Genomic DNA, 21,959 nt, shown 5'->3' on the forward strand with positions numbered 1-21,959 from the left:
GAGAAATAAAAGAGACTTGACAAATATTCATTTCTGTGCTGTTAAATGAATTTAGAGGATAATAATCTGATGTAATTTATGACCCTTTAAAGTGGTATTTGCTCAAAGTATGAATTCAAAAGGCTGCATATGATACATAATTCATTCACAAATGACTGCAGAGCTGGCTCTGGCTCCTAGGACATTGTCTAGACTTCCCAGACTCCTCCAAGGCTGGGTAGCAAGCCAGAGGCCAGATCTATTTTTTTTTAAATATTTTTCTTCTAAGAAAGAAAAAAAATTACATTTACTAGTTAACTGAGGCTAAGTTAGTTAAAAGAAGAAAAAAAAGCAAGCTTCTTTCCACTCATTAGCACAGTCATCATGAGCAATAATCATTCTTTATTTTAAAATGTCCCTAAGTTCCAAAAACCATAACTCTAAAAGGCACCTGCAGCTAAAGATGGCTATAAGAGGGATAAAAATGAAAAGACCTACTCAGACACCGTGGACATCATTTTGTCCAAGCTGATCTAGAGGCCAAATTTGATCTGCCTATAGGCCCAGAGAGGTCTGGGAGAACGTAAAGAAACTTTCTCTTGTCTTGTCTTGCTCCCTAATTTTAATCTGTTTCTTAATGATCTTTGCAGACCTGTCCCTGAGGCACAGAGTCTCTTTACCAGCATCAGAAAACCTAGACGATCTATCAATTTAAGCCTGGCTTGGGACAAACTTGATGAGAAAGGTCATTTCTCACAGTCTCTTGGCTCCAGTCCCAGAGTTTACCGAGTGCTCTAATGCCTCTTCTTGGGTATTCCACAACTGTAACAAAGAGCAAATGAAAATCCACTACCTGATCTTTAGACAGAATGAATTTCAGAGTTAGAATTGACTCAAATAATGCCACCTCTGAGAAAACTGAGCAGTCCCCTGCTCTCTTACTTCACAGACTGATTCATATGTCCCAATTTATGTTCTCATTGTACCATATACATATCTCTACAACTGTACTGTACTTATGTACTGTGCAAGTATTTCTTGTTCATTTATCCTACCTTTATAAGCTTCTTGAAAGCAGAACAATGTTTTTCTCATCTTTGTATCTTAAGCATTTAGCACAGTTCCTGGAAAACTAGTGTAAATTATTAGTAGTTAAGAAAAGACTCTGAGCCGGGCACAGTGGCTCATGCCTGTAATCCCAGCACTTTGGGAGGCCAAGGCAGGATGATCACCTGAGGTCAGGAGTTTGAGACCAGCCTGGCCACCATGGTGAAACCTTGTCTCTACTAACAATACATGAAATTAGCCAGGTGTGGTGGTGGGCACCTGTAGTTCAGTTACTCGGGAGGCTGAGGCAGGAGAAGTGCTTGAATCAGGGAGGCGGAGGTTGCAGTGAGCCGAGATCATGTCACTGCACTCCAGCCTGGGCAACAAGAGTGAAACACTCCATCTCAAACAAACAACAACAACAAAAAGACTCTGGAGCCAGACTGCCTGGAATCAAATCTCAGCTCCACCTTTATCATGTGTGAGACTTTGAGCAAGTTATTTAGCCTCTTATTGCCTCAATTTCCTCATTTATTAAATACTAACCTCATAGCACTGAGAAGATCAAATGAAACAACGTACAGACAGCCCCCAACTTACAATGGTCCCACTTAACAATTTTTGAACTTTATGGTGGGTTTATTGGGGTATTAAATGTATTTCTTTTCTTTTCTTTTTTTTTTTTTTTGAGCCAGGGTCTTACTCTGTCACCCAGGCTGGAGTGCAGTGGGGCAATCACAGCTCACTGTAGCCTTGACCTCCTCGGACTCAGGTAATACTTCCACCTTATCCTCCCAAGTAGCTGGTTAAGGGCATTTCTGACTTATGATGGATTTACTGAAACATCATCATAAGTCAAGGAGCACCTGTACATAAAGCACTTAGAATAGTGTCTGACTCATGGTAAGCTCTCAGGAAGTGCTAGCTAGTATTTTTATTATGTAGTATGTACTCAAACTTTTGTTTGAATATATACTACACATATGCTCGAGACTGACAGAAGTCTGTAGCCACGGACTGTTGTAGCTAGAAGTGTATATATAGATGAAACACTGAACTATAAATTCATAATCACCTTCTTCTATACTATTTTTCATTTTACTGTATTACCTTTCTGTGGTACCTTGAATATTCTGTTGTATGTGAGACTAAAAATTTATTCCTGCATTCTGAATTCCAAATAAATGACCTAAGAACTTTTTATACACTGGTATAGAGCTTATTCATAAGTTGAGAAGCACCTGGGTTCTACTAAAAAGATGTTGCTAAGACTATTTGAAAGACTGATTGAGGAAAAGTTTCCATGGAGAAAAATCAAAGCTTCATGACTTATTTATGAGCTCCTTTTATCTTGTGGCCAGTTTCAAATGAACTTAAAATGTAACATTAAAGATATCTGATAACAGGAAAATCCTGGGGATTGACAAATATTACAAAGGCATCACTAACATATCATTGACTTTGGAATTGCAAAGCTATCTGCAAATCAAAGAAAAATATCAATCTCTATGAGTCTTCTGCACTTTTTTTTTTTTTTGAGACGGAGTTTCGCTCTTGCCCAGGCTGGAGTGCAATGGCACGATCTCGGCTCACTGCAACCTCCGCCTTCCGGGTTCAAGCGATTGTCCTGCCTCAGCCTCCCGAGTAGCTGGGATTACAGGTATGTGCTACCACACCTGGCTAATTTTGTATTTTTAGTAGAGACGCGGTTTCTCCATGTTGGTCAGGCTGGTCTCGAACTCCCAACATCAGGTGATCTGCCCACCTTGGCCTCCAAAAGTGCTGGGATTACAGGCATGAGCCATGGCGCCCGGCCGCACTTTTAATGATCCATCTGAAAGGTCAGATTCAGAAGTGATAATGCCTTTAAAAAACTTTGCCCACATAATATATTTAAGCTACAAAGTGTCACTCTTAAAATTTTTCCTCCATTCTCCAAAAGGTATGAAACAAAAAAGCACTTTTTGGCACACTTTTACTGAATAATTATCAAGATATTATCAAGGTTGCATTTACAAAGGAGCTTTACATAACCATGGAGATTCTACCATATACAGTCATGTGCTGCATAAGGACATTTCAGTCAATGAGAGACTGCATATATAATGGCGTTCCCATAAGATTATCATGGAACTGAAAAATTCCTATCACCTAGTGATGTTGTGAGGTTGCAATGCAGTTACTTTGTTTTATAAATTTAGTATACCCTAAGTGTACAGTGTATATAAAGTCTGCAGTAAGGTACAGCAATGTCTTAGACCACACGCATCATCATTCATTCACTGACTCAACCAAACCAATTTCCAGTCCTGCAAGCCCCATTCATGGTTAAGTGCCTTTACAGATGTACCATTTTTTAAAATCTTTTATACCATATTTTTACTCTGCTTTTTCTATGCTTAGATATGTTTACTTACACAAATACTTACCATTGTTTTACAATTGCCTTGTTTTGTAAAGAATTGTTGGCCAGGCACAGTGGCTTATGCCTGTTATCCCAGCACTTTGGGAGGCTGGGGCGAGTGGATCACCTGAGGTCAGGAGTTCAAGACCAGCCTGGCCAACATAGTGAAACCTCGTCTCTACTAAAAATACAAAAATTAGCCAAGTGTGGTGGCACATGCCTGTAATCCCAGCTACTAAGGAGGCTAATGCAGGAGAATCACTTGAACCCAAGAGGCAGAGGTTGCAGTGAGCCGAGATTGTACCACTGCACTCTAGCCGGGGTGACAGAGTGAGATTCTGTCTCAAAAAAAAAAAAAAAAAAAAAAAAAAAGAACTGTTATAGTTCTTTTACACACATGCACGTGTGCTCGCACGCGCACACACGTATACATACACACATACGTATACACATTAGGTTAAATAATGCTTGCTGTGGCATTTCCTCACCAGATTTTTGCAAGGAGAAAGCAGTACATGTTGACTAAATGCTTTATGTTTTTCTAAAAATACTGTACTAGTAAAATACAGTAATTATTTCAGTACAGTAACATGCTGTATAGGTTTGTAGCGTAGAAGCAATAGGCTATACCATATAGCCTATGGTATACCTATATACCATATAGCTATACCATCCAGGTTTGTGTAAATGCACTCTACGATGTTTGCACAATGATGAGATCATCTAACAATGCATTTCTCAGAATTTATCATTAAGCAATACATAACTATATAGTATTTTCAGTTTGACTTTACAACCAGAGAACCTATAAGCCAGAAATGATAGCAAACTTGAGCTGGAGAGAATAAAGGGAATTGCAAGAAATTAAATCAGAGTTTGGCTTTGGATTTTATACATTTTCTCATTAAACTGGCTCACCCTGAGAGCTAACCTGATCTCATCAGGGCAAGATATTGGACCTACCCCATGAAGTGTATATATAGAGAAAATAGAATTAGTTTCAAAGAATGTTGATATCAAGACATGGGTGATTGACATAAAAGCTCCTGAGGAAAAAAAAATTTTTTTGAGATGGAGTCTTGCTCTGTCGCCCAGGCTGGAGTGCAATGGTGTGATCTTGGCTCCCCGCAACCTCCACCTCCTGGGTTCAAATGATTCTCATGCCTCAGCCTCCCGAGTAGCTGGAATTACAGGTGTGCACCACTACGCCTGGCTAATTTTTTTGTATTTTTAGTAGAGACAGGGTTTTGCCATGTTGGCCAGGCTTGAACTCCTGGCCTCAAGTGATCCTCCTGCCCTGGCCTCCAAAAGTGCTGGGATTATAGGCATGAGCCACCATGCCCAGCCCATAGTTTTTTGTTTTTTTTTTTTTTTTTGGTAAAAACCCTTAAACATATACTTGGCTCACTGAAGTTATAAATACCCAAAAGAAACAAGTATGGCTGTCATTCTTATCCCTGGGAGATGCATTCTGAGATACCCAGTGGAAGCCTGTAACCAAGAATAGTACTGAACCCATTTGCCGTCACATGGAACATGTTTCTGTTCAGGTCTTTTTTTTTTTTTTTTTTTTTTTTTTTTGAAATAGAGTCTCACTCTGTCACCCAGGCTGGAGTGCAGTGGCACAATCTTGGCTCACTGCAACCTCTGTCTCCCGGGTTCAAGTGATTCTCCTGTCTCAGCCTCCCTACCAGCTGGAATTACAGGTACCTGCCACCACACCTGGCTAATTTTTGTATTCTTAGTAAAGACAGGGTTACACCATGTTGGCCATGCTGGTCTCAAACTCCTGACCTCAGGTGATCTGCCTGCCTCGGCCTCCCAAAGTACTGGGATTACAGACATGAGCCACCATGCCTGGCCCTTGTTCAGGTCTTTCACTCCTACATTTAAAGCCTTTTCCATCTTAACTAAGCACTTATCACACACTGTGTCTATAACTTTTGCAGTTTGAGATATAACAGCAAAATTAGCATAATTTTTTTTCCTACTTCATAATTTCCCAGCTAGGAGATTCTTTCTTACCATAGATCTTAGCAACCTCACCATACAATTTTTTTCCATTCCTTATTAAGTTGAGAACTTTCAACCTTTTAGGAAGTACTTTACAGCTTCTCTCTGGCACATCTACATTACCAGCATCACTACTCTTGTGCTTTGGGGCCATTAGTAAATAAAATAAAGGTTACTTAAACACAAGCACTCCAACACTGCAACAGTCGATCTGGTAACAGAAATGACTACTAAGTGACTAAGGGGTGGGCAGTGCAGACAGCCTCTATATGCTGACAAAGAGGTCATTCATGTCCCCGCGGAACAAGTGGGACCTCATGAGATTTTATCACACTACTCAGAAAGGCATGCAATCTGAAACTTATGAACTGTTTATTTCTGGAATTTTCCATTTGATATTTTTGAACTACAGTTGACGGCAGGTAACTGAAATCTTAGAAAGAGAAATTGCAGATAAGGGAGGACTACTGTACTCTTTAACAAACTCTTCCAATTTTTGGAAAAGTCAAACTGGAAACCTCTAAGGATGGAATAAGAAACTACCCACATTCTGCTTTGTAGAGGCAAAGCGGAAGTACAAAACTAAAGGAAATGTCATTGAACATATCATTTTGTTTCTTGGATTTAATTAAATCAAGAGTCAGGTCTCATCATTTAGTTTACACTTCCCCAGAGAACAAAACCAACAAAACTGGGCTATCAGTGCAAAAAGAAACCTACTTTGCCAAAGAGTGTTCTAGTTCCAACAAGTGTTGGATTGAAAGCCTTCTTGCCTTCTGGTCTCCTTTTCTATAATATTTTGGCCAGGAAAGGAGTTGAGGCATGTCCCTTGATACGGTCATTTGTTGCATCAGACAGATTTAATTCTACCTTAGCACTTTAAAAAGATGGGTAGAAAGATGTCAACTTGATGATTTAAAGGGTGGGTGATTCTAGAATCTCTTTAGGTACTTTTAATCATTTAGTTGTAGTTATAATCTTTTTAAAAAGCTCCTTGATATTTAACTTAATACCTTCATTTTTTTTTTTCATCTCTACTCTTTTTCTTTTTTTGAGACGAAGTCTCACTCTGTTGCCCAGGCTGGAGTGCAGTAGTGCAATCTTGTCTCACTCCGACCTCCACCTCCTGGGTCCAGGCGATTCTTGTGCCTCAGCCTCCCGAGTAGCTGGGATTACAGGAGTATGCCACCACGTCTGACTAATTTTCTGGTTTTTTGTTTTGTTTTGTTTTGTTTTTTGAGACAGAGTCTTGCCCTGTTGCCCAGACTGGAGTACAATGGTGCAATCTTGGCTCACTGCAACTTCCGCCTCCCGGGCTCAAGCAATTCTCATGCCTCAGCTTCCCAAGCAGCTGGGATTACAGGGACATGCCACCACACCCGGCTGATTTCTGTATTTTTAGTATAGATGGGGTTTTGCCATCTTGGTCAGCCTAGTCTCATACTCCTGACCTCAGGTGATCCACCCACTCTTCCTCCCAAAGTGCTGGGATTATAGGCATGAGCCACCACTCCCGGCCTAATTTTCTGTATTTTTAATAGAAACGGGGATTCGCCATGTTGGCCAGGCTGGTTTCGAACTCCTGACCTCAGGTGATCCGCCTGCCTCATCCTCCCAAAGTGCTGGGATTACAGATGTGAGCCACTGCACCCGGCCTTGTCTCTATTCTTATTGACAGATGAGAATAATTAACATAGTTCTTTATATCTCTCTTTTTCTTTCTGATTGAACAAATCTAGTTTAACCTCAATATTTTTTCTTGAAGACTGAAATATAAATCAGTTACTGTTATCCTCTGAATCATACCTAATTTACCTTTAGATAATTGACACTCGTGCTTCTTAAAACGTAACAATTTTTTTTTTTTTTTTTGAGACAGAGTTTCGCTCTTGTCGCCCTGGAGTGCAATGGCATGAGACTGGAGTGCAATGGCATGATCTCGGCTCACTGCAACCTCTGCCTCCTGGGTTCAAGTGATTCTCCTGCCTCAGCCTCCCAAGTAGCTGGGATTATAGGCATGGGCCTCTACATTCGGCTAATTTTGTATTTTTAGTAGAGACGGGGTATTGCCATGTTGACCAGGCTGGTCTCAAACTCCTGACCTCAGGTTATCTGCCTGCCTTGGCCTCTTAAAGTGCTGGGATTACAGGCATGAGCCATCGTGCCGGGCCAAAATGTAACAATTTTATTGGTTATTTGCTAAGCACGTGAATCCCAGCTTATAAGCAAGATCATGCTACAGACTGGAATTCTATTAGATAATACCTTTTCAGTGTCCTTGTCTTATATTCTGGAGTTGGTTGCTTCTTTCTTCTACAAATTAGTTTTTGCTTTTTTTTTTTTTTTTGATATGACAGCTCCTTTCCCCCCTTACCCCTCTCAAATTAAAATTAACCATAACCTTTCAAATAATTTTCTAATACCTTTCAGTTTTGACTGACATCCTACTTGCTACAGTCATTAAGAAATCAATGAATATATTAACTGGAATTAGATTTGGCACCTATCTCCAAGGAACTCAATAGTTCTCAGTAGCCTTAGACGAAATTTTTAATAACCTTAAAAGAGAATTTTAAAAACCAACCTTATATTCTTAAGTCATTCTTTTAGACCTGTTTTTTTTGTGAGTTCCCAAATAAAGAAAAAAGGGTAGAATGAAAAAAAAAAGAGATCAGAATTAAGAGCATTAAAATAGCTGTAAAATCCAGCAGCTAATAATTCTTGTGATTAAATATAATTAAATGGCTAGTTTAGGTAGTATCTTGCAAGCACAAAAGAACAGTGTATTTCTCCACAGTCATAAGACTTGAGTGGCAAAGAAATTGGTAAAAGATTCTGAAGAAGGTAGACTGTACATATTCCAGAAATTTGGTCTTTTTCTGTCTCTAAAATTCAGACAATTTTATTTTTCTTTAGAGTCCCAAATAAATCAGGTACAGAAATGCCATTTCAGACTAAAAGTAATAACTTAATCAGACAAAGAACAGAAATAGTTCAGTCTGAAAGACAGTGTGAAGTAGACCCGAGTTGGAATCCTAGTTCTACCATATAATAGTCCTGTGACTTTTACCTCTTTGTGTTTCAGTTTCTACATCCAGAACATGGGTAAAACATCACTAAACCTGACAGGGTTGTTGAGAATTAAAATAAAGAAGGCATGTAATGTATATAAAGTGCCTGGCTCATAGTAGGTACTCAATAAATGATCATGAACTTATCCCTTTTCTCTGACCCCTCTGGAAATTAAGTTTGACAGATAAATAGCACTCTCTTCACTTTCAAAGCTACTGTGATGAGAAAAAGACAGAAATAACTAAATGGAACAATAAATCTCCTGGATCTGAAGTTTTAAAGTAGGTAAATAATGAAATGAAGCTAGTGAGAGATGGATACAAAGAATGGTGGAATTATAAAACCCATACAAAAGTTATTAAGATACTACTAATCTTTTCTATTTTCCTCTTGGCTGTGATGATGAGATTATATTTCATACTCAATGAAAGGAGAAATTACCCAAACTTAGAAAAGTGAAATTAAAAGTGTTTCATAAAACAAAAATTGCTGCCATTTTCCAGATGTTTTATCAGAAAACTATTTCAAAATGAAAGTAAGGCCTTTCAATCATCCAAGTGAGATGACCTATTTATATGCCTGTTGCCATACTAGGTGGCAGTGGGTATAAATGGGAAGGTGAACACACTTATTAAAGGCACAGTGCATGCCCAGTGGTGTTAGGTATGAAATATTTTATTAGTTTGCTAAGGCTCCCATAGCAAAATACTACAGACTAGGACTTTTTCTCATAGTTCTGGAGGCTATACGAGTGTAAGTTCAAGGGGTCAGCAGGGTTGGTTTCCTCTGAGGCTTCTCTCCTTGGCTTACAGATGACTGCCTTCTGGCTGCCTCTTCACATGATTATCTCTTGGGTCTTTTTGTTGTGCCTAAATCTCTTCTTCTTATATGGACACCAGACAGGTTGGATTAGAGCCCACTCTTACCCCTCATTTAATGCAATCACCTCTTTAAAGACCTTATCTCCAAGTAAAGTCATATTCTGAGATACTGGGGGTTGGGACATCAACGTAGGAATTTTGGAATTTTGATGGGACACAATTCATCCCACTACAAACATCATCTCACTTAACCATTGCCCTGTTTTACAAATGAGGAGCCAGGCTCTGAGAGAATAACTAACTAATCAAATATCACATAGCCAGTAAGTGGTGGGACCAAAATTTTAACCAAGGCCTCATTAGCACTAAAGCCTATACTCTTGCTGCTAGTCACGCTTCCTCAAAGAAGGACAAATGTAGTTGGGAAGACACAGTACTGACTGATGAAATTTTATGTAAGGATGTCATCAATAAGAAGGTACTTATTCTACTGGACGTCTTCGTCCATTTTCTGCTGGTATAAAAGAATACCACAGATTGGATAATTGATAAAGAACAGAAGTTTATTTGGCTCATGGTTTTGGAGGCTGGGAAGTCCAAGAGCATGGCACCAATATCTGGCAGGGGTCCTTTCATGGTGGATGGGCAAGCAAACATGTAAGACAGAGGGTAAATGGGGGCCAAACTTACTCTTTAATCAGGAGCCCACTACCACAGCAATAGCCACTTCCATGAAAATGACATTAATGCATTTATGATAGCAGACCCCTCATGACCTAATCACCCCTTAAAGCCCCTGCCTCTTAACAGTGATACAACAGCAATTAAATTTCCAATACATGAACTTTGATCGGGGGGGGTGAGGTGGTGTATAATGAAACCATAGCACTAGACTTATGCCATGATATGGGAAGAATGGATTCAGTATTACTAGCCACTTACAGAACACTTACTACATGTTAGGCTGCATTCTTTCACAAGAGTCTATTGGTCTCCTCACATGAGGAACTGCTGACTGGCAAAAGGAACAGTCTTAGCACATCTTGGTCCAAAGCCTACAGATAGTTCCACATGAATGTCAAACAAAAGAGAGCCTTCTAGAGTAAGTATCTTAGATACAACTGTCTTTTACATCTCTTTTCTTCTGCATTTGGGTGTAGGCTATGTGTAGGAACACATGCATGAAACCCCTAATCTGCTTTATAATATTTTCCCTCATGGGCATGCTACACAATATGTTTTTTTTTGAGACAGAATCTCACTCTGTCACCAGGCTGGAGTGCAGTGGCGCAATCTTGGCTTACTGCAACCTCCACCTCCCCGGTTCAAGCGATTCCCCTGCCTCAGCCTCCCAAGTAGCTGGGACTACAGGCACGCGCCACCATGCCCAGCTAGTTTTTTGTATTGTTAGTAGAGATGGGGTTTCACCATGTTGGACAGGATGGTCTCAATCTCCTGACTTCGTGATCTGCCCGCCTTGGACTCCCAAAGTGCTGGGATTACAGGCATGAGCCACCATGCCCGGCCTTCTACGCAGTATGTTAGTGGGCTTTCAACTCTATAGCATCTCAGTATGCAAGACAAAAGTCCTATGCTCTGTTTCTCTAGGCTCTCATTTGTGTTTCTAGGAACAAGTGTTGGTTTAGATTGTGGTCAGGCTGGCACCTGCTCAGTGCTCTGGTTGACCCTGTATGTTTTTGCTAAAAGTTTTTTTGTTTGTTTTTATTGTTTTTTTTAAATTTCTTTGTTTGTTTTTGTTTTTGCTAAAAGTATTACCCTAGTTTGTGCTTCTTTAACTACATTTTTTGGACCTACACTCTGTTTAATTGTAATTACATAATTAATAAGGTAAATCACTTACATTCCCAGATTATGTTACAAATACTCCCAAAGAAGACCAGTCTGGGTATATATGCATACTAGGAAGGCAAGGCATATGACTTGAACCCTGGTACATACTAACTCTCACACAAACATTGTTAGATGAGGTCTACTTCTTTCTTCTATACTCTGAGGAGTATATTGGAACATTCCTATAAGAATGCAAACTTCACAAAGGTAAGCACTATGCCTTTGTGTGTGTGTGTGTGTATTTGTTGTAACATATCTAGTATATTTTACATATAAAAATACCCAATATAAATCAGTGAACAAAATAAAATTCACTGCCTCAGAAGTATCTGTTTTCCATAGGGTAAAAATAGTAATGTTACCATTTCCAAATAAAGCTCTGGAAGCATAATACTTAAATGCTATTGGACATACATTTTCTTCATTCTGTGAAGTTATATTTTGAACTCCATGATCTGCTACAGTTTACTGTGGCAAGGTAACTGGCAAAAAACAAGAGTACTGTGGTTATTCTGAAGATAGAGCCCTCTACGTACAACTAGACAAAAGGAAAACGTCGCTAACTAGAATATTTAGAAACTGAGGTATTACGATTAATTTATGACTAATTTTCTGGTTTATTGAGAGCTGACCAGATAATGTCTTTTGCTTCTATTATTGTTGAAATCTTTTCAAGTGATTTTCTAGGCTGATGTGTCACATTCCTCTGTATGCGATGAAGAAAAAACCCTTTGAAGTCTAAGCACTTAACCTTTCCTGATACTTACTTAGCCTTGAGCTTTTCACTAGACAGAGAAGTTATCTATCCAGCTGTGCAAGGAAGTTAGAATAGGGAAGCTGTGTTTGCTTCATGTAAAGGTATTGAAAAAAAAATCCTATACAGTATTTAGTTAAGAAAAAAAAAGAAAAAAGGAGTAGGGAAGCTGTAAAACTTTTCAACATGGCAAACACTTACTGACCTTTTAGTATACAGTAAGTCTTCACTAGGTTCTAGGAAACTGAGACTTTAAGTGAAACAATGCTTAACAAAACCAATGTTACCATAGGCTAATTGATAAAGATGAGAGTTAATTTCCTATGGCATATTTCTGGTCACAAAAACATCAGCATGGCTGGGAGTGGTGGCTCACACCTGTAATCCCAGCAGTTTGGGAGGCCGAGGTGGGCAGATCACCTGAGGTTGGGAGTTCGAGACCAGCCTGGCCAACATGGTAAAGCCCTGACTGTACTAAAAACACAAAAATTAGCTGGGCGTGGTGGGGCACGCCTGTCATCCCAGCTATTCAGGAGGCTGAGGCAGGAGAATCGCTTGAACCTGGGAGGTGGAGGCTGCAGTGAGTGGAGATCGCGCCACTGCACTCCAGCTCAGGAGACAGAGCAAGACTCCATCTCAAAATGAAAACAAAAGCATCACCAAATTTCTAAATAAAGACCCAAAACACTTCTAATAGTAAACACTGAAATAAATGTGAGCTATATATATAGATCTAAGAAAGATTGATAAAAACAAGTAAGATAGTCATTTACCCAATTTTTAGTGATTAGATGTCGGTGGTCATAGTGGTGGTGGGTTAAATCAAGAAATAAATGTTTGCAAAGTGAAAATTGTAATAAGTACCTCCTCCTACCATGAAGTTCAAACATAAACAATAACCAATATGGCAGTCTCACTGAGAGCTTTTGCACTGCATTGTTTATCATCTACTTTATGAGTTTATTTCACAATAATTTGCATTCTTTCATTTTCTAACATGCTTATTCCAGTTCAGGATGGAGGATGATCAGAGACTATCCTGGCTGCTCTGGGTGCAAAGCAGGAACCCACCCCAGACAAGATGCCGCTCCATCTCAGGGCACACTCACACACACCCACTCACTTAGACTGGGACCATTTAGACACTCCAGTGCACCGAACATGTACATCTTTGGGATATGAGAGGAAACCGGAGTACTCAGGGAAAACTCAAACAGACAGGGGACTCCGCACAGAAAGTGGCTCTAGGGGGAAATCAATTTGTTCCCGCTCATCAGTGTTACAACAAAACGACATTGAACAAAACAACACAATTGAGACAAGTGGGTGGAAAAGGTGAAATCATATATAAGAATCTTGGGGAAACAGGGAAAGCAGATACAGAAGTAACATACATAGTTTAAAAACAACATAGCACCTTTCTCCAGTATTTTCACCTGTTTTAGTTATAGTAGTTAATGTTTTGAAATTCCAAATAATATTAAGGTAGGGCGTGTGTTAAAAGAAAAAGAGAGGCCGGGTGCGGTGGCTCACACCTATAATCCCAGCACTATGGGAGGCCGAGGCAGGAGGATCACATGAGGTCAGGAGTTCAAGACCAGTCTGGCCAACATGGTGAAACTGCGTCTCTAATAAAAATACAAAATTAGCCGGGTGTGGTGGCACATGCCTGTAATTCCAGCTACTCGAGAGGCTGAGGCAGGAGAATCGCTTGAACCTGGGAGGTGGAGGTTGCAGTGAGCCAAGATCATATCATGCCACTGCACTCCACCCTGGCTGATGGAGTAGGACTGTCTCAAAAAAAAAAAAAAAAAAAAAAAAAAAAAGAAGAAAAAGAAAAGAGGTTGGGAAACACCAGTGTAAGAGAATTTTTAAAAATGTCAAGAAATTAGAGACTAGATTTTTGTCTCCAGACAAAAATACATATAGAAGGCATTTGATCAATGTTTTGAATGGAACAGAATAAATAGCTAGAATAGCATGATGGTCTAAACTTTAAATGGAAAAGTAAACTTGTAAATCCCCAAACACAGTAAGATACCTTTGCAACTCTCAGCAACATTGCCTTAAACAATTAAAGAGACAGGATCTCACCGTGTTGCCCAGGCTGCTCTCAAACTCCTGGGCTCAAGCGATTCTCCCACCTTAGCCTCCCGGGTAGCTGGGACTATGGGTGTATGCCACTGTGCCTGGTTAAGCACATATATTTTATATTAAGCACACATATTTTTATTCTGACATTTTGTGTTTCCAGCTCTTACTACCTTTGCAATTATCCATCCTTCTTCATCTCCATCTTCTGGTGTCTTCCACACAATAAACAAAAAAGCAGGAATATATGCTCAGATTGAGAACTGCTGTGACCCCTGAGTTTCTTTCTCCACAAACGGAACATACAAAGACAGCTAAGATTTTTCAATTTAGAGGTTTTTGGTTTTAGATTACAGAAATACTTCACTTCATGACATTTTCACAGAACATGTTGTTTCCTATCTGCTGTCAGTTTATAAAGCACTGATAAGCTTCAAATCAATCAGTTCTCACAGCTGGAGGTAAATGGAAAGAATGCCTATAGTACAGGCCCTCCTGCCCATCAGTTCCACATGTGATGGATCTACTGAGTCTAAGGAAGACCTACCTCAAGCTTCAGAACATCATGCTGCAGTTTACGCTGAAATTCGAGGAAGTTTTTGATTGTCAGCTTTCCCTTCAGATCAGCTCCAAAAAAGTAGGTTGTGAGGGCTGAACACAAGCCAGACTTGAGGGTGTTGCCAGTAGTTGGACGATCTCTGTGGCGCATACCCATACTGGTTTGGGAGCGAATGATGCTCTGAACCTAATACAGAATCAAACCCACATCCAGAAAAATATTAGGAAGTGAGAAAACATAAACATAGAAAAGCAAGAATCATAACTATTGTTTACTATTTGCCTACTCTGTATTATAATTATCTCTTTTAATGCTTACAACAATTTTTTTTTTTTGAGACAGAGTCTCTCTCTGTCACCCAGTCTGGAGTGCAGTGGTACAAAATCAGCTCACTGCAACCTCCACCTCCCGGGTTCAAGCAATTCTCATGCCTCAGCCTCCTGAGTAGCTGGGACTATAGGTACACACCATCATGCCTGGCTAATTTTTTGTATTTTAATAGAGACAGGGTTTCACCAGGTCGGCCAGGCTGGTCTTGAACTCCGGACCTCAAGTGATCCTCCCACCTTGGCCTCCCAAAGTTCTGGGATTGCAGGAGTGAGCCACCGCGCCCAGCCTACAATAATCTTATAGGTGCTATTATTATCCTTATTTTATAAATAAGATTGAAGCACACGGAATTAAATAACTTGCTCAAGGTCAAGTGGCTGGTAAGTAGCAGAATTAGGGTTCTAACACAGACAGCCTGACAACTTTATAATTGGGATCCTCTTAGAAAATCTCTGTTCAGGAAAGGATGAACATTTGTTTTGGAGACTCAAAAACTCTCTCATGACCAGGTGTGGTGGCTCATGCCTATAATCCCAGCACTTTGGGAAGCTGAGGTGGGTGGATCACCTGCGGTCAGGAGTTCGAGACCAGCCTGGCCAAGATGGTGAAACCCCATCTCTACTAAAAACACAAAAATTAGCCGGGTGTGGTGGTGGGTGCCTATAATCCCAGCTGCTCAGGAGGCTGAGGCAGGAGAATCACTTGAACCCAGGAGGTGGAGGTTGCAGTGAGCCAAGATTGTGCCACTATACTCCAACCTGGGTGACAGAGCGAGACTCCATCTCAAAAAAAAAAAAAAAAAAAAAGAGACAGGGTCTTGCCTGTCATACAGGCTGGGGTGCAATGGCACGATCATAGCTCACTGCAACTTCAAAATCCTGTGCTCAGGTGATCCTCCCACCACAGCCTCCGGAGTAGCTAGGACTACAGGCACATACTACCAATCCCAGCTAATTTTTTTTCCCCCTGTAGAGATAGGGTCTCACTATGTTGCCCAGGCTGGTTTCAAACTAGCCTCAAGTGGTCCCCCAACCGCCTCTGCCTCCCAAAGTGCTGGGATTATAAGCATGAGTGATCGTGTTCAGCCCAGTTTCTTACCTTATATAATGTACCTGATACTTTCTCCCACTTCCTGGAATATTTGCCCCTTTCCTCATTTTGAGAATACAAAAAATGCTTTTTCCTATACATACAGTTTTTCTGTTTTGAGACCACTTCTGGCAATCATAATAACTGTATCTGGAGAAGCACCATGGTTCTCCAATGGCAGTAGTTCTATGGAAATGTAACCTATTCCTAGGATTTTGAAATTGTCACCTACTATAGTCAAAAATGGTATGGCACCATTTTTCCTTCTCTTATAGAAATCCTTTAAGAAAATATGTAGTCCTTGTATTCTGGAACTGCCTAGCACATAGCAGCTTTTTGGTAAATGTTGAATTGCCATAATTTAGCTTCCCAGCTAGAGGCATTATAACCCAATTTATGTTGGAGAATCGGAGCAACCGTGACCTTAACGGTATGTTCAAATAATTCATTACATTTAGAGTGAAAACAAACAAATAAAACCAACCCACCTGTTCAAAGAATAATTTTGAGAAATGACATTTTAGGTACTTCAAAAATTGGAATAGCCTCTGAGTATACTGACCAAGGCTAAGGTAACTCCAAGGCACATGAAAATGTATTTTAAATATTAATGTATTTAGAGGAACTCTCCAGGACAACTTGCCTGTTCAAATTCTTCCATATCTACTTCTCCATCTCCATTCAAATCAAACATCTTGAAGGCAATTTCAAAATTTCTCTGAGGAGCTGCAGAGGAGAGAAAAAAAATATTTAGAAGGCATTGACCAAAAATAAATCCCTTTTTAAAGAAAAACAAAAGGCTAAACACTAAAATGTAATATCAAAGTCACCATAAAAGTGACTGAGTCAAAGTCTCAATAAATGGAAAATGAAACTGCATTTATTGAGATCACCCTTTTAGGAATACTCCTTGAAACCAAAAAAGAGTAGTACTACGGCCAGTAAAGACAGCACTTGTCTACCTTTTTGTTTCAACATGCTTTGCCTTAAATGATTTAGCTTTGCTTTCAGAGACACCATCTTCTTAGCTTAGTAATATTAACGTTCTGTTGCTTCAATATGGTATTACTTATCTGGGCAAGAAAGTATGTCTAGGGTGAGACATATTGCTGCAAAGTAAGAAGTTGAAACACTACATCTTAGTCTTACCCTCACAACAAGCCAGCTTTCTACTTTGTTCTTTCTAGTCTCTTTGTTGTAAGTGCAGTCAGGAGTTCTGGGCATGTCACCCTGCCAACATGGATAATTTCAAGTTGGTTTCTTTTATTAGTTTATTCATTATCACTACAGCTCTATGGTAAGGCAGAAAAGTACACTGTAAGGTACTCAGCCCCCTATTTTTTTTTCTTTTTTTTTTTGAGACAGTTTCACTCTGTTGCCCAAGCTGGAGTGCAGTAGTGCCATCTTGGCTCACTGCAACCTCCGCCTCCAGGGTTGAAGTGATGCTCATGCCTCAGCCACCCGAGTAATTGGGATTACAGGCATGTACAACCATGCCTGGCTAATTTTTGTATTTTTAGCAGAGACGGGGTTTCACCATGTTGACCAGGCTGGTCTTGAACTCCTGACCTCAAGTGATCCACTCGCCTTGGCCTCCCAAAGTGCTGGGATTACAGGTGTGAGCCACGGCGTCTGGCCTCAGCCCCCTATTTCGATCATGTCAGCTGCATACACAAATTACTAAATATACTTAAATGGTAAAATTAAGCTGAAGTTTAAATAACAAAATGAAAAAATGCAAAGCTTGACAAAACTTTCCCTTAATGATGAAAGCTTTTCAAGGCTTCTTTAGTGTTCCTAGATCAGTCATAATATCATTAATATACTCTGTGCATTGGAATAAAATATAAACTCAACAGCCCTCCTCCCTTCCCATACTAAATGTTCTGGTAAAGAAAACTAAGTTGTTTACTTCCTTCCTTTGGTGCTTCAAATTTATACAGCTCTAGAGAATAAACCAAAATAAATATTCTATGTGTCCTTATACTAGTGAATTAAAATTTCAGTTAACATCATTTACATGAAAAAAGTTAAGATTTTATGCAGAGAAAAAAGTAAAATGAACTTTGTATATTATGTATAATTGTTAGAGAGGCCATATTCCCATCCTGCTCATGAATTTGTCAACAGAAACACTTTCTGGGCTCAAATTCCATTTTCAGGTAGTTAGGCAGCTAGGCTGGAAACTCCTGGTTTTTAGTTGCCTGGGTGAATCATGTGTGTGTCAGCTTCCAATTGTCTGCTTCACTTGATATTGACTTCCAATAGGTTTGCTTTCCTTTAGGCCAGAGACAGGGTTTCAACATGTCAGCTAGGCTGGTCTTGAACTCCTGACCTCAAGTGATCCTCCCACCTTGGCCTCTCAAAGTCCTGGGATTACAGGTGTGAGCCACCATGACCCAGCCTTCAATTGCTGGGAAGGATGCAGCTGGGGGAATTAGTTTTGTATATTTGTTGTCACTTCTCAAATTTTTGCTACCTGTCTGAATGTTACATTTTACTGAGGAGTTACTATGTGGCAGGCATTGAGCTAGATAATTGGAGGTGTTTATTATTTGACTTCATACTCTCAATCTTGAAAACTTTCATTTCTTTATTGTTTAAACAGAGGAGGATATTGGGGCTCAAAGCAGTTAAATGGCTAGCTCAAAAATCACACAGCTCCTTTTTGGCAGAAGTGGGAATTGAACTTAAGTCAACACTGACTCCAAAGCCTACAAACTTTCCTTATGTTCCAAGGCCTCTAATGTGAACATAGAGGTACTTAAAATGATAAACACACACTCTTCATGCTGACACGATTTGACCTAAAAACTAAGCAACAAAACATGACACAGTGGTTATGTCAGTCTCTGCAAAAGCTGAACATTCCAAGTTGATCATCTCAAGGAGATAACCAATATCACAGAAACACTGCCTGTGTTATGCTCAGGAGTTTAGGCTTGACCGTAGTAAATGGAAGATCCACAGGCAACATTAAACTCTCAGATAGGTTTGTCATGTGTTTTTGTTTTTTGGGACAGGGTCTTGTTCTGTCATCTAGGCTAGAATGCAGTGGCACAGTCATAGCTCAATGCAACCTCAGACTTCTGGGCTCAAGCAATCCTGCCTCAGCCTCTGGAGTAGCTAGGACTACAGGTGCGTGCCACCAAGCCTGGATAATTTTTCTATGTTTTGTGGAGATGTGGTCTCACTACATTGCCCAGGCTGGTCTTAAACCTCCTGGCCTCAAATGATCCTCCTGCCTCAGCTCCCCAAGGTGCTAGGATTATAGGTGTGAGCCACAGCACCCGGCTGGTTTGTCATGTTTTTTAAACTTCTGATTATAAATCTCTTCAGGTGGAAATGTTCTCTCTTATTCTTCCTTATTTTGTCACACTTGGCCCACTTCACTCCTATATGTTATTTGCCTAATTCCTGTAGATACTTGAGAATGTAACAATGGCAGAAAATATGAAGCCACTGAAGGTTTTAAGTAGGAGAGTGACACAATCAAGCAATTATAAAGGACTTCTCCAGCTACTGTGTGAAGAATGAGTTGGAAAAGAAAGGCCAGCTTTAAAGAAGATCAGAAGCTCTTTTAAATGTTGAAAATGCAAACTGCAGTGATGGCAGTGGTAATGGAGAGGAGGGACACATTTGAGATACCCAAAGAAGGCAGAAATTATAGAACTTAATGATTAGTTAGCTGTGATGAGTTGAGAGTGAAAAGGAATGACAGCATGACTGGCTTAGACTACTGTGTAGCTTGCATGGCATGAAGAAAGAGAGCAAATAGATGTAAAATGTTTGAGAAATAAAATGATTTCAGACGGGATCTGCTAAATTTAAGGGGTCTCAGCTTATGCAGATGAAGATGTTCAGGAGACAGTTGGAAATATGGGTCTAAAGCTCAGTGAGAGAGGTTTAAGCTGGGATTTATGGGCATACAAGTGGCTAGCTGCAAAGAACCTGAAAGGAAGTTGCCCATGCAAAACTGAGGAGTGAGGAGAAGGTCAAGAAAAGGGTAGATTGCAGGTGGAAGCCAATGTTTAAAGTGCAACGAAAAGGAAAGGAGGCAGTGACAGAGGAAGCGGCATCACAATATCCAGAGGAATACAGCCCAAATTAATAGAAATAGGAAAACATTTGATAAGAGCGAAGTCAATATGCTCCCATACATGAATTAAAGCAGTATCCCCATTCCCTCTCTCCACAATTACAGAGGTGACACAGACTGCTTACAACTTCAGCTTTATCAGGATCTTGTAGTCTTACTGTCTTGTGAGTTCCATGAAGGCATGTGCCCAGATCATTTAAATGACTGAATGAGTTATTCTAGCATATTATGGTTAATATCACCTCCTACAACTAAGGTTAAATACACTTTACCAAACAAAGTATACCCTGTAATGCTTGAGGTTTCTCTGTCTTTTTATCCTGGTATAGTTCCTTTCAAAGTACTGGCTTTATGTGGAGCAACTGAGAGTGCTTGTTAAAGTACATGCGCTGACACCACAGAGGCCATGAACCTGTGCTTGGGCCACTGCTGAGGCAAGCTGGGCTGCAGCCTTGGACATGCTCACTTGGGCCTCACCAGCCTCTCAGGGCCAGTCTTTCTAGAAAGAGCTCTCAGCCTATTCAATTTCATTGGCTGATCATGTCAAAGCATATGGGACAAACAAGCCAAAAACAAGCTTGCTTTAAGTGAAACATGCTACACAGTATATGATGTCAAGCGATTCTCTTGTAAACTTATTTGTCTCCTCTCAAATGTAGCCTTCAGGGCAATTTTTAAATCTAGTTGTTTTGGAAAGCTTATGGCATCCTGTGTTTATTCTAACTCATAATCTGTTTCCATAGAAAGGTTCTGAAAGAGGAATTTTGGTTTTTGTTTTGTTTTTTGTTTTTTGTTTTTTTGAGACTGAATCTTGCTCTATTGCCCAGGCTGGAGTGCAGTGGCATGATCTTGGCTCACTGCAGCCTTTGCCTCCCAGGTTTAAGTGATTCTCGTGCCTCAGTCTCCCAAGTAGCTGGGATTACAGGAGCACACCACCACCCCCGGCTAATTTTTGTATTTTTAGTAGAGACGGGGTTTCACCATATTGGCCAGGCTGTTCTAGAACTCCTGGCCTCAAGTGATGCACCCGCCTTGGCCTCCCAAAGTGTCGGGATTACAGGCGTGAGCCACAGCGCCCACCCTGAAAAAGGAATTCTTTTGAATGCTAGGCTACTTAGAGTGAAGAGTGAGGCTTTCCCCCCTGCTAAAACAGCATAATTTACTTTCTACACGATTTCCAAAATGGTCTCAGCAAGTGTTGAAACTGATTAGAACAATAAGACCCTACACAAAGTTTGTTACTATACACCTTTCACTTAGATTTCCTTAATAATCTTTGCTACTAGGATACAGAGCTACATTAGGTCTGTTCTGGTTACAAGTCTGTTTCTATAATATCATTCCACCATTGACAATCATGATAATAATAATGACAACTCTACACTGTTTCCTGAAGCACATTTTTTCTGTTTTGTTTTAGTAAAGAGAAAAAACCATCTTTTTCTATGTGTATTGAGTCACATAATCAGATAAACACTAGCTGTCCTGAGACTTTCACTGGTTGATTTCATGGCTATTTCTCTCACTGTTCTTTAATAGAAAATGCATAAGGAATGGTACGGGTAGGAATGGTTGAACTAAAGTTCTAATTCTGGCTTTTCCAATAACCTAATGAGTCATTTGCTGCCTTACATTATTTTTTGGTAGCACTGATGGAATGATGAAAAAATGAATAGGTTAGATTCTAAACAAGTTTCTTATTTTCTATTGGTTTGATTCTCCTATCAAAGAATTCTTACCTGTCCCATTCCTGTTTTAGAATGCTAGAGGATAAATGAGGTAATTGATATGCAATGTCAGAGAAGTCTGAGTTTTGAAAAAAACTTCCAGAATGTTCCTCTATTCAATGA

General features: G+C 39.9%; 1 protein-coding gene across 24 annotated transcripts in view; it reads right to left on the reverse strand.

The window, feature by feature from the left end:
* MICU1 (mitochondrial calcium uptake 1) overlaps window positions 1-21,959 on the reverse strand; it is a 258,740-nt gene that overhangs the window by 93,181 nt on the left and 143,600 nt on the right. For 20 of the 24 annotated variants that reach the window (NR_199811.1, NR_199809.1, NM_001441228.1 and 17 more), the window contains 2 exons: window positions 16,654-16,736; window positions 14,580-14,777 (listed from right to left, as the gene is read on the reverse strand). The exons of 1 other annotated variant lie outside the window; for it this stretch is intronic. Coding sequence is in view for 20 of the 23 variants with exons in the window: in NM_001441228.1 (NP_001428157.1) it covers window positions 14,580-14,777; window positions 16,654-16,736 (281 nt within the window). In the remaining 3 variants the exon portion in view is untranslated. Of the gene's footprint in view, window positions 1-14,579; window positions 14,778-16,649; window positions 16,737-16,972; window positions 17,084-21,959 lie in introns of all 24 variants that reach the window. 3 more of the 24 variants (NM_001441231.1, NR_199810.1, NM_001441227.1) reach the window with 3 other exon arrangements.

The sequence above is a fragment of the Homo sapiens genome, chromosome 10, assembly GCF_000001405.40.
Source record: "Homo sapiens chromosome 10, GRCh38.p14 Primary Assembly".
NCBI lineage: Eukaryota > Metazoa > Chordata > Mammalia > Primates > Hominidae > Homo > Homo sapiens.